A 13,995-nucleotide genomic window follows, 5' to 3' on the forward strand; every position below is an offset into this window, starting at 1 on the left:
GAATTCCAACTTTCCCCATGCTATTTGGGCACGTTGCTTAACATCTCTAAGACTCGATATTCATACTCTTAAGATACTACTAATAATAGTACCTAGTTTTTATGATATAATGTGCATCAAAAGCATTATACTTTCAGGCAGATGGCAATTTCTCAATAAATATTTGCTAATGTTTTAGTACAAACAGGAAAATTGGATTATGATATTTATGACACTGTTGATTCTCCTTCTAGAAACATTTGTATCTAAAACTTGTTTTCAAATTAGAGCACTATTTTGTATTCAGATTGAAAATACTATATGTTCAGATTTTTTAAAAAACAGTATTGCATGAATGTTTTAATTAAAATATTCCTAAATGAGCTTGAGCAAGGAGGACAGGGGAGATAAGTAAAATAAGGCTTTGTGGCATAGGAGACATTTGGTGGAAATCTTTCAGCTCAACTAAGATTTGAAAAAAAAAGAGAATTTTTATAAAAAATGTAAAGGCAGGATTTACACTGATGAGCTTGTGGAGAAAATACAGAGTCTAACATAATTCAAAAGAGACTAATCAGTCAAAGTGGTTTTGAAGGAATATCTTGAAGAGAGAGAACATAAAATGAAGATCAGGTATGTAGTTATTTTAATAATCTATCCATGAGATAAAAAGCATTGGGTTTTATTTGTCAAAATGGGACAATAGTTCCAAGAACCATTATTTGCTCAGCCTAAAGAGGTTTTTACATTTTGAACCAGCGACATATTGTGCTAAGTAGGATAATATCCAAATTTGTGTCTATATCAATAATTTTGTTCTCAATTAAAAACACTTTATTCACACAACTGATGATTATCTGCATTTGATTTAGTGCTGAACTGTCAAAGGGGGACTAACAAAAACAAAATATTAGAGTTGCAAGCAGTGTAAGTGGAAAATAATGATCATATTGAACTCATCATTACTGAAATAAGAAAACAAAGCAAAAAATAAATAAGAAAAAAATTGACTACGTGAACATTTGCTTCTCTCCTAAGAATCAAAACCCTTAATTTGCTGTGGCAAAAAAGCATCTGGGTCCATGAACCCATGCAAAAGTCTACTGTTTCTGGGAGATAAGAAGAAGCAAAACACATCAGCTTCCAGAGAAGGTTAAGAAACCTCTCATACCCTACCCTACCCCACCTGACACCAGGCAAAGGATCACTGCTTCTGGGAGAGGGATGCAAGAAAAATACTCCTCCATCAGGAGAGGAACAAGGATTGTTTTGGGGCCCAGGATTTTGCACTAATGCAGAGTCGTGCTACTGTGGTAAAGGTTTGGAAAGTCTCCATCCAGTGACCACAGACAAAGGTACATTGTTCCTATGGAAGGAGAAATAAAAGAGTTTGCCCTTATTGTGGGGTTGAAAACTTGCAATGATATAAATCAGGGGTTTTCTACTACTGAGGTGGGAGGAGGGTAAGGTATTATTTCTTCTGCAAAAAACAACACAGGTAAGTGACAGTTTGACTCCCACTAGAAAAAGAGTCAAGAAGCGTTAAAAATACCCCATCTCTGAGTGTCCAATGATGAAACTGGCTCAAAAACAACACAAACCATCCCTCTGTCCCCAACCTGAATTTTTTGCCTAGTCACACACACACACACAAAATGATGTTCTACAGTTAGAGAAGAACAAGAAAGTGGAGAGAGACCCTCTCTATAACATAGGTTGTAAGGACTACCGAAAGCTAACTGTGGAACAGGATCATTGGCATATGCTCTCCAGAGTCTAAGGCCCCACACAAGGCACATCATATAGCAGTCTACTGCTGGAGAAATCTGAGTTACATTGTTCACTGAATGTTTCAGACACCGCAGCAAAAAGCAACCTTTGTTCCTGCCCACACTAATCGCATGACACAAACAAAAATGAAACAGAAATATAAAACAATCTCGACATAAATAATTATCTCATGATCTACTGTTTTTCTACATCAGATGATTTGCATTTTTTAGAAATTGGGAGACACATAAAAGCAAGTTAGAAATTTGAGTTATGAGTTATAATATTTTCAAAGGATAAAAAGTCAACAGAATCAAATTCAGAGATAATTCAGATGTTGGAACTAAATGAAAGTAATTTAAAATAATAATGATCAAAATGTTAAAGGATCTAGTTAAAAAAAGACAACATGTATGGAAAAATGAGGAATTTCAGCAAAGATGGGAACAGTAAAAGGCAAAATCTAGAAATAAGTGAAAGCATGAGAACAGAGATGAAGTATTACATCAGCAAGCTGATTAGCAGACTGGTCATCAGAGTTAAAGAAAGAAGCAGTAAATTTTATACTAGGTCAATACAAATCATTTGAATGGTAGCACAAAGGGAGGAAAGAGAAAAACCAAATAAACCAATGAACCAAGCAAATAAAATACTCCAGTGAATCAAAGAATTTTCTGGTAATATGAAATTAACCAAAATACAATTAATTGGAATTACAGAAGGAGAGTAAAAACAGAATGTGAGAGAAGAAAAATTTGAAAAAGATGACTGAGGAGACCAAATAACCTCAAAATATACAAGAAAGATTAATACAAAATTTAAAGAACGCTAGAATAATCACACTAGTGAAACTGCTGAAAACCAACGATTAGCATAAATCTTGAATTCAGTCACAGAAAAAATAAGAACACTGTGTAGAGAGATAAACAGAAACAAACATTGTAATGAACTGCTTGTCAGTAACTCTACAAGTCAGAAACCAATGATACAAAATTCTTAAATAACTGAAGAAAAGTCAACCCCCAATCTTATATCCATTAACTGTAATACAGCAAAAATAACAATTAAATGACATTTGCAGATTAACACTGGAAGAGTCCCTTGCTAACAGGTATGCACTAAAATAAATGTCAAAATCATTTCTTGAGGCAAAAGGAATATGGAAGCAGGTGAAAGTTGAAACTACACAAAGAAATAAATAATGCCAGAGAAGATATAAAGATATATAACCCAATTATTTTACATTGCTCTAAAGATAATTGATTGTCTAATTTTTTAAAAAAAGAGTAACTTTATATTATGGAATTCATAATATTTGAGACTATAATGCATGACATAAATAGTATAAAGGAGAGAGGAAACAGAAATATACATTTTAAGGTTTTTATACCATAGTTGGTATAGTACAAATTATAGGTTACTGTAATAAGCTAGAATAGGTATTGAAATCTCTAGAGAAACCATGAACATTTTTAAAAAATGGTATGTGCATTAATGTTTTCATAGAACTTCCAGCTTTTATTTATTTGTTTGTATTCATTTAATTTTATTTATTTTTTTTGAGATGGAGTCTCGCCCTGTTGCCCAGGCTGCAGTGCAATGGTGTGATCTCAGCTCACTGCAACCACCTCCGCCTCCCAGGTTCCAATGATTCTCCTGCCTCAGCCTCCTGAGTAGCTGGGATTACAGGTGCCCACCACCATGCCCAGCTAATTTTTGTATTTTTAGTAGAGACGGGGTTTCACCATGTTGGCCAGGCTTGTCTCAAACTCCTGGCCTCATGATCGGCCCACCTCAGCTTCCCAAAGTGCTGGGATTACAGACTTGAGACACCGTGCCAGGCCCCAGCTTTTAGTTTTTAAGGTAGTTGTTGTGTTATTACATGTGAAGTAAGGTTATTCTTAAATATCCATGTTTTGAGAATTAATGATAATGACAAGTTAATTTATCTCAATCTAAATGACATTTTAATATTAAATATTTAAATATTTTTATTACTTTTCCTTTTTAACAGAAGTCATTCTAACTGGTGTGAGATGGTATTTCACTGATGTTTTGTTTTGCATTTCTCTGATGATTAGTGATGGTATGCATGTGTTAATATGTTTGTTGGCCACATATGTGTTCTTCTGAAAACTGTTCACGTTCTTTGCCCATTTTTTAATGGGGTTATTTATTTTTTGCTCGTTGATTTGCCTAAGTCTCTTATGGCTTCTGGATAATAGGCCTTTGCTGTATGCATAGTGTGTGAATATTTTCTTCCACTCGGTAGGCTGTCTGTTCAATCCCTTGAGAGTTTCTCATGCTGTGCAGAAGAAGCTCTTTAGTTTAATTAAATCATACTTGTCAATTTTTATTTTTCTGGCAATTGCTTTTGAGGACTTACCCATAAATTCATTGCCAAGTGCAATGTCCAGGTGAATATTTCCTAGGTTTTCTTCCAGGATTTTTATAGGCAGAGGATGTAATCTCATGTCAATGGGTCTTAATAATCAAATGACTCCACACTGAGAATCATTACTGTGAAAAATCGATTTTGTTATAATGATAGAAATTTAAACATATAAAAGTAAAAACAGATGCCACCTCTTTGCTAGAACTCTACAAGGCAAATTACTATAAGAGAGCCATTGCAGTGAAATAAGTGAAAGCACATTATAAATAAACTTACCTGATTTTACAAACTAACCTGTAAAGGGATTTGTACTAATTTTTCCATTGCCTGCATTGCCCTTTCTTCTAGATCCAATTTATATTTTTGTACTTCACCAATGTGTCTTCACCAATGTGTACTTTCCATACGTCTTTTAAGATTTAATATTACTTTTTCCAACATCTTTTTAGCCTCCTCAAGATTTTTACATTCCTGTTGTATTTTTTCATACATAATAACTCCTGTTGAATACCTTGATTGTTTTGAGTCAAACAGACATATTTTGAAGATACAGCTTCCAGCTCTGCTGTAAGATCACCAAACTACATTAATAAAATAATATAACTTGAAAATGAAGTAGGCTGAGAATAATCTCATACAAAACCAGTAACAAATTTTGAAATACATTTACTTGCAATAAAATGTTATCTATAATGTAGATTCTTTAAATGTTAACCCTTAAATTACTCAGAAATTCAAGAACAAAGTAAAAGCCACCATAAGTCACATATATTCTTTACTATCATCTTTGCCACAGAACTTTTGCACTTGATCTTTCTTTTACTTTTCTGATAATTTGTGTTTTTTCCTCCTTAAATGGCTCTATGTTAACTCTTATTAGAAAGTTTCAAACCCCTTTCTCTCATCATCGTGCCCCAAAATTTGTCAAAAAAAGTTTCAGAGATATAATATTGAGTTATTTAGGCCAAAGTCAATAAATGGCTCTTAGAATAAGACTTTGAAAATAATGTAATACTCTATGCTAGGCATGGTGGCTCATGCCTGTAATCCCAGCACTATAGGAGGCTGTGGCAGAAAGATTACTTGAGGCCAGGAATTTGAAACCAGCCAGAGCAACATAGTGATAACATAATCTCGACAAAAAATTTTATTTAAAATTAACCAGGCATGGTGACTTATGCTTGTAGATCCAACTAGTTGGGAGACTAAGGCACAAGGATGGCTTGGACTCAGAGTTCATGGCTGCAGTGAATTATGACCAAGCCACTCCACTTCTGCCTGGATGACAGACAGAGACCATATCTCAAAAAAACACAAAATAATCCTATAAATAAGGATTCTAATGCCATAAGCCTTTCCCTAGGCTGTAAATGTTTTATGCTAATTTGAATTGCATTTTTAAAAGTAATGACTCTTGGGGTAGAGGCCATAGAATACAGCACCCAGATATAAATCCACATATTTGCCTTACAAGAAATAAATCCACATTCTTGCCTTACAAGAGCTCCTGAAGGAAGCACTAAACATGGAAAGGGACAAACAGTATGAGCCACTGGGAAAACATACCAAATTGTAACGACCATCGACACTATAAAGAAACTGCATTAACTAATGGGAAAAATAAACAGCTAACAACATCATGACAGGATAAATTTCACATGTAACAATATTAACCTTAAATGTAACTGGGCTAAATGCCCCAGTAAAAAGACACAGACTGGCAAGTTGGAAAAAGACTCAAGACCCATTGGTGTGCTGTATTCAGGAGACCCATCTCACATGCAAAGACACACACAGGCTCAAAATAAAGGGACGGAGGAATATTTACCAAGCAAATGAAAAGCAAAAAAAAAAAAAAAAAAAAAAAAAAAAGCAGGGGTTGCAATCCTAGTCTCCGATAAAACAGACTTTAAATGGAAAAGATCAAAAGAGACAAAGGGCATTACAAAGCAGTGCCATCTGCTTTTCCTCAGGACTCTGCTCCATCAGCCATCAGGTGGCAGCCATTCAGGCTGTTGGAACCTGGCCATCCATGCTTCTTTGAGTGGGTGAGATTAAAGGCTGGTCCAACTGCACCAGGAGCATGCTTGCAGAGGTGGCTGCTTGCTCTTTGAGCCAGCTTGGCTTTGCCTGGCATGCACAGGCCCCAGCTACTGACAAGCTGCTCTGAGTGAGCTTGTCCTGCCTGGGGCCAAATTCTAAGTCTGGCCAGGGCCACAGAAGGGCAAGTCCCCTGGGTGGTAATCCTGACTTTTTTCTGCACTTGAACATAAAGTCCTCCTCAAGATGGCCTGTGGTCTGCCTCTTGGCAACCAAGAAGCCTGCAGTGCCATATAAGCTCGGAGGCATGGACTAGAGCCCCAAAGGCAGTGAACACCCTGCTCCTGAGCCTGCTGCTCATTTCCTCTGTGTGGCTCCATTTGTAGCACAGTTGTTGTACTGAGGCTTGTGCATGCTGGGCAAGGACAAGCTGGCTCAAAGAGGAACCAGCCACTTCTGCAAGGGTGTGCCAGGAGCAGGTAGACCAGCCACCAACCTCACTCACTGCCTGCCAGACATGGCACATCAGTTCTTCTACCCTAGAGGTAGGGCCCCAGTGCCATCTGCTTTTTCTGAGGCCTCTGCTCCATCAGCCATCAGGTGGCAGCCACACAGGCTGTGGGAACCTGCCTATCCTTGCTTCCTTGAGTAGCAGAGGTTGGTGGCTGCTCTACCTGCTCCCGGTGCACCCCTGCAAAGGTGGCTGGTTGCTCTTTGAGCCAGCTTGGCCTTGCCTGACATGCAGAGGCCCCAGCTACTGACATGCTCCTCTGAGTGAGCTTGTCCTGCCTTGGCCCAAATTCTAAGTCTGGTCAGGTCCACAGAAGGCAGAGTCCCCTGGGTGGTAATGCTGGCTGCTTTCTGCATTTGAACACAAAGTCCTCCTCCAGACGACCTGTGGTCTGCCCCTTGGCAATGAAGAAGCCCGCAGTGCCATATGAGCCCTGAGGCATGGACTGGAGCCCCAAAGGCAGTGCACACCGTGCTCCTGATCCTGCTGCTCATTTCCTCTCTGTGGCTCCATTTGTAGCACAGTTGTTGCACTGAGGCTTGTGCATGCCGAGCGAAGCCAAGCTGGCTCAAAGAGGAACCAGCCACCTCTGCAAGGGTGTGCCAGGAGCCGGTGGAGCAGACACTAAACTCACTCGCTGCCGGTTGGGGCACATCAGTTCTTCTCCCATAGAGGTCGGGCCCCAGTGCCATCTGCTTTTCCTCAGGCCTCTGCTCCATCAGTCTCCAGGTGGCAGCCACTCAGACTGTTGGAACCTGGCCATCCATGCTTCCTTGTGTGGGTCAGTTTGATGGCTGCTACATCTGCTCCAGGCACACCCTTGCAGAGGTGGCTGGTTGCTCTTTGAGACAGCTTGGCCTTGCCTGGCATGCACAGGCTCCAGTTACCGATACGCTGCTCTGAGTGAGCTTGTCCTGCATTAGGCAAAATTCTAAGTCCGGTCAGGGCCACAGAAGGCAGAGTCCCCTGGGTGGTAATCCTGGCTGCTTTCTGCACTTGAACATAAAGTCCTCCTCAAGATGGCCTGTGGTCTGCCTCTTTGCAACCAAGAAGCCCACAGAGCCATACTAGCCCGGAGGCATTGACTGGAGCCCCAAATGCAGCACACACCCTGCTCCTGAGCCTGCTGCTCTGTTTTCTCTGTGTGGCCCCATTTGTAGCACAGTTGTTGTACTGAGGCTTGTGCATGCTGGGCAAGGCCAAGCTGGCGCAAAGAGAAACCAGCCACCTCTGCAAGGGTGTGCCAGGAGCAGGAGGACCAGCCACCAACCTCGCTCACAGCCGGTCGGTGTACATCACTTCTTCTACCCAAGAGGTAGAGCCCCAGTGCCATCTGCTTTTCCTCAGGCCTCTGCTCCATCAGCCATCAGGACGCAGACATGCAGGCTGTGGGAACCTGGCCATCCCTACTTCCTTGAGTGGGTGAGGTTGGTGGCTGCTCCACCTGCTCCAGGTGCACCCTTGCAGAGGTGGCTGGTTGCTCTTCGAGCCACCTTGGCCTTGCCTGGCATGCACAGGACCCAGCTACTGATACACTGCTCCGAGTGAGCTTGCCCTGCCTGGGGCCAAATTCTAAGTCTGGCCAGGGCCACAGAAGGCAGAGCCCCTGGGTGGTAATACTGGCTGCTTTCTGCATTTGAACATAAAGTCCTCCTCAAGATGGCCTGTGGTCTGCATCTTGGCAACGAAGAAGCCCACAGTGCCACACGAGCCCTGAGGCATGGACTGGAGCCCCAAAGGCAGCGCACACCCTGCTCCTGAGCCTGCTGCTCGTTTCCTCTATGTGGCTCCATATGTAGCACAGTTGTCGCACTGAGGCTTGTGCATGCCAGGCAAGGCCAAGCTGGCTCGAAGAGTAACCAGCCACCTCTGCAAGGGTGTGCCAGGAGCAGATGGACCAGCCACCAACCTCACTCACTGCCGGTCAGGGTACATCACTTCTTCTACCCTAGATGTAGGGTCCCAGTGCCATCTGCTTTTCCTCAGGCCTCTGCTCCATCAGCCATCAGGAGGCAGCCACTCAGGTTGTTGGAATCTGGCCATCCCTGCTTCCTTGAGTGGGTGATGTTGGTGGCTGCTCCACCTGCTCCTGGAGCACCCTTGCAGAGGTGGCTTGTTGCTCTTTGAGACAGCTTGGCCATGCCTTTCATGCACAGGCTCCAGCTACTGACACGCTGCTCTGAGTGTGCTTGTCCTGAGTTAGGCCAAATTCTAAGTCCGGTCAGGGCCACAGAAGGCAGAGTCCCCTGGGTGGTAATCCTGGCTGCTTTCTGCACTTGAACATAAAGTCCTCCTCAAGATGGCCTGTGGTCTGCCTCTTTGCAACCAAGAAGCCCACAGAGCCATACTAGCCCGGAGGCATTGACTGGAGCCCCAAATGCAGCACACACCCTGCTCCTGAGCCTGCTGCTCTGTTTTCTCTGTGTGGTTCCATTTGTAGCACAGCTGTTGCACTGAGGCTTGTGCATGCTGGGCAAGGCCAAGCTGGCGCAAAGAGAAACCAGCCACCTCTGCAAGGGTGTGCCAGGAGCAGGTGGACCAGCCACCAACCTCACTCACAGCTGGTCGGTGTACATCACTTCTTCTACCCAAGAGGTAGAGCCCCAATGCCATCTGCTTTTCCTCAGGCCTCTGCTCCATCAGCCATCAGGATGCAGCCATGCAGGCTGTGGGAACCTGGCCATCCCTACTTCCTTGAGTGGGTGAGGTTGGTGGCTGCTCCACCTGCTCCAGGTGCACCCTTGCAGAGGTGGCTGGTTGCTCTTTGAGCCAGCTTGGCCTTGCCTGGCATACACAGGCCCCAGCTACCGACATGCTGCTCTGAGTGAGCTTGTTCTGCTTTGGCCCAAATTTTATCTCTGTCCAGGGCAGAGTCCCCTGGGTGGTAATCCTGCCTACTTTCTGCACTTGAATATCAAGTCCTCCTCAGGATGGCCTGTGGTCTGCCTCTTTGCAACGAAGAAGCCCGCAGTGCCACACGAGCCCTGAGGCATGGACTGGAGCCCCAAAGGCAGCGCACACCCTGCTCCTGAGCCTGCTGCTCATTTCCTCTCTGTGACTCCATACCTAGCACAGATGTTGCACTGAGGCTTGTGTATGCCAGGCAAGGCCAAGCTGGCTCAAAGAGCAACCAGCCACCTCTGCAAGCGTGTGCCAGGAGCCGGTGGAGCAGCCACCAAACTCACTTGTTGCAGGTGAGGGCACATCAGTTCTTCTACCCTAGAGGTAGGGCCCCAGTGCCATCCGCTTTTCCTCAGGCCTTTGCTCCATCAGCCATCAGGAGGCAGCCATTCAGGCTGTGGGAACTTGGCCATCCCTACTTCCTTGAGTAGCTGAGGTTGGTGGCTGCTCCACATGTCCCAGGTGCACCCTTGCAGAGGTGACTGGTTCCTATTTGAGTCAGCTTGGCCTTGCCTGGCATGCATAGTCTCCAGCTACTGACATGCTGCTGTGAGTGAGCTTGTCCTGCCTTGGCCCAAATTCTAAGTCTGGTCAGGGCCACAGAACGCCAAGTCCCCTGGGTGGTAATCCTGCTGCTTTCTATACTCGAACATAAAGTCCTCCTCAAGACAGCCTGTGGTCTGCCTCTTGGCAACCAAGAAGCCCGCAGTGACATATGAGCCCTGAGCCATGGACTGGAGCACCAAAGGCAGTGTACACCCTGCTCCTGAGCCTGCCTCTAATGTCCTCTGTGTGGTTCCATTTGTAGAACAGTTGTTGCACTGAGACTTGTGCATGCTGGGCAAGGCCAAGCTGGCTCAAAGAGCAACCAGCCACCTCTGCAAGGGTGTGCCAGGAGCAGGTGGACCAGCCACCAACATCACTTGCTGCCAGACATGGTACCTCAGTTCTTCTACCCTAAAGGTAGGGCCCCAGTGCCATCTGCTTTTCCTCAGGCCTCTGCTCCATCAGCCATCAGGTGGCAGCCACTCAGGCTGTGGGAACCTGGCCATCCCGGCTTTGTTGAGGGGGTGAGATTGGTGGCTGGTCCAACTGCTCTAGGCACACCCTTGCAGAGGTGGCTGGTTGCTCTTTGAGCCAGCTTGGCTTTGCCTGGCATGCACAGGCCCCAGGTACTGACACGCTACTCTGAGTGAGCGTGTCATGCCTGGGGCCAAATTCTAAGTCTGGCCAGGGTCACAAAAGGCTGAGTCCCCTAGGTTGTAATCCTGGCTGCTTTCTGCACTTGAACATAAAGTCCTCCACAAGATGGCCTGTGATCTGCCTCTTGGCAACCAAGAAGCCCACGGTGCCATATGAGCCCTGAGGCATGGACTGGAGCCCCAAAGGCAGTGTACACCCTGCTCCTGAGCCTGCTGGTCATTTTCTGTGTGGCTCCATTTGTAGCACAGTTGTTGCACTGAGGCTTGTGAATGCCAGGCAAGGCCAAGCTGGCTCAAAGAGCAACCAGCCACCTCTGCAAGGATCCACCTGGAGCAGGTGGACCAGCCACCAACCTCACCCACTTAAGGAAGCAGGGAATGTGTGTTTGTACCATGCATTGCACTACAAGTACATTTCTCCTGAGTTTGGTGGCCTAGGTTTTCTTCTAGGTTTTTTATGGTTTTAGGTCTTAAGTTTAACTCTTCAATCCATCGTAAGTTAATTTTTGTATAAAGTGTAAGGAAGTGGCCCAGTTTCAGTTTTCTGCATATGGCTAGCCAGTTTTCCTAACACCATTTATTGAATAAGGAATCCTTTCCCCATTGCTTGTTTTTGTCAGGTTTGTCAAAGATCAGATGGTTTTAGATGTGTTGTGTCATTTCTGAGGCCTCTGTTCTGTTCCATTTGTCTATATATCTGGTTTGGTACCAGTACCATGCTGTTTTGGTTACTGTAGCCTTGTAGAATAGTTTGAAGTCAGGTACCATGATGCCTCCAGCTTTGTTGTTTTTGCTTAGATTGTCTTGGCTACGCGAGCTCTTTTTTGGCTCCATATGAAATTTAAAGTAGTGTTTCTAATTGTGGGAAGAAAGTCAATGGTAGCTTCATGGAGATGGCACTGATTCTATAAATTACTTTGGGAGATATGGCATTCAGGCACAGAAATGTCCTTGTGTTAGGCAATACCATTCAGGACATAGGCATAGGCGAAGACTTCATCACTAGAACACCAAAAGCGATGGCAACAAAAGCCAAAATTGACAAATGGGATCTAATTAAACTAAAGAGTGTCTGCACAGCAAAAGAAACTATCATCAGAGTGAACAGGCAACCCTCAGAAAGGGAGAAAATTGTTGCAATCTATCCATCTGACAAAGGGCTAATATGCAGAATCTATAAAAACTTAAACAAATTTACAAGAAAAAAACAAACAACCCCATCAAAAAGTGGGCAAAGGATATGAACAGACACTTCCCAAAGGAGACATTTACGCAGCCAATGAACATGTGAAGCAAAGCACTGGTCATTAGAGAAATGGAATTCAAAACCATAATGAGATACAATCTTACGCCACTTGGAATGGCCATCATTAAAAAATCAGGAAACAACAGAAGCTGGAGAGGATGTGGAGAAATAGGAATGCTTTTACACTGTTGGTGGGAGTATAAATCAGTTCAACCATCGTGGAAGACAGTGTGATGATTCCTCAAGGATCTACAACTAGAAATACCATTTGACCCAGCAATCCCATTACAGTGTATATACTCAAAAAAATATAAATCATTCCAATATAAAGACACATGCACACGTATGCTTATTGCGGCAGTGTTCACAACAGGAAAGACTTGGAACCAACCCAAATGCCCACCAATGATAGACTGGATAAAGAAAATGTGGCATATATACACCATGGAATACTATGCAGTCATAAAAAAGGATGAGTTCATATCCTTTGCAGGGACATGGATGAAGCTGGAAACTGTCATTCTCAGCAAACTAACACAAGAACAGAAAACCAAACACCACATGATCTCACTCATAAGTAGGACCTGAACAATGAGAACACATGGACACAGGAAGGGAAACATCACACACAAGGGCCTGTCAGGGTGGGGGGCTAGAAAAGGGATGGCATTAGATCATGGGTTGGTGCATGCAGCAAGCCACCATAGCATGTGTATACGTATGTAACAAACCTGCATGTTCTGCACATGTACCCCAGAACTTAAAGTATAATTAAAAAAAAATAAATTTGCTTTTAATTAAGCTTTTCAACATAGAACTTGTAAAGAAAATACTTCTGAATCTTTTACTACCACATCATAGCTGGGACAAACTGCTGATATTTTAAAAGTAACACAAATATCAAACAGAAAGAACTAGACTTAGGAACCAAACTCAGGTTTCTGTAGTGAACAGGGCAGAATCTTAACTTTGGGTCGCCACCACTACTCCCTCAGTTTGGCCTTGGCTAGCAAAAGATGCAACCACTTATGTAAAAAATAAAAATAAAAAAGTTAAAAAAATCATTTCTGCTAACTGGAATTTTTTTTTTTTTTGCAGCCACATGAGTTTTAGCCAATTCAGAAGCCTTGTTCCCCACAATTTGGAGCATTCTTTGGATTTGACCAAGTCAGGAAGAGATGGGAGAAAAGTGAAACAACAACAACAAAACCCCAAACATAAACAAACAAAAAGAGTTAAGCAAAACAAACAAATGCACAATTCATATGATTACTGAGTGTTCTAATGGTAACGAGAAATTAAAAGCAGCTGGTGAGTAATCTTAAATTTTAGTCATTAAGGAAAAATTTTAAGACAAAACTCTAATTCAGCTACTTACCTGGAAATAAGTCTCAGGCTGGTGATTGTTCTCTGCCATCTTAGAAGCTGGAAAAAACTTACACTCACCTTCCCTGTCAGAAGCAAGCTGAAACTCAAGAAAGGAGGTGCCTGCTCTCCATCATCACGGAAGCAGGAAAACTTGCCTTGTTGGAAATAAGTAAAACTTCAGAAAAGGAGTTGTATAGCAAAATCAACCTTAGATCTCAACCAAATTTTGGGAGATCAGGGATTCTCTGCAGGGGAGAAGCTCCCTAACCTCAGCACATTATCCTATTGGTTTGGGCAATAAAGATAGCCCAGGTTGGTATCAAGCAATAATGAGATTTATCAAAGGTCAGGACCACCTTTGTAATCTCCTTCTCTCTTTTTTTTTTTTTTTTTTTTTTTTTTTTTGAGACGGAGTCTCACTGTCTCGCCTGGGCTGCAGTGCAGTGGCACGATCTTGGCTCACTGCAAGCTCCACTTCCCAGGTTCACACCATTCTCCTGCCTCAGCCTCCCAAGTAGCTGGGACTACAGGCACCCGCCACCATGCCCAGCTAATTTTTTGTATTTTTCGTAGAGACGGGGTT

At 43.4% G+C, this 13,995-nt stretch overlaps 1 long non-coding RNA gene across 1 annotated transcript; it reads right to left on the reverse strand.

The window, feature by feature from the left end:
• Positions 1-3,792: 3,792 nt before the first annotated feature.
• Positions 3,793-13,680, reverse strand: LOC105379207 (uncharacterized). Its single transcript, XR_948845.2, has 3 exons — positions 13,423-13,680; positions 4,439-4,709; positions 3,793-4,269 (listed from the first exon to the last, which is right to left on the reverse strand). It is a non-coding gene; the product is annotated as an uncharacterized LOC105379207 (long non-coding RNA).
• Between the last annotated feature and the right edge of the window lie 315 nt (positions 13,681-13,995).

This window comes from Homo sapiens, chromosome 15 (assembly GCF_000001405.40).
Source record: "Homo sapiens chromosome 15, GRCh38.p14 Primary Assembly".
Classification (NCBI taxonomy): domain Eukaryota; kingdom Metazoa; phylum Chordata; class Mammalia; order Primates; family Hominidae; genus Homo; species Homo sapiens.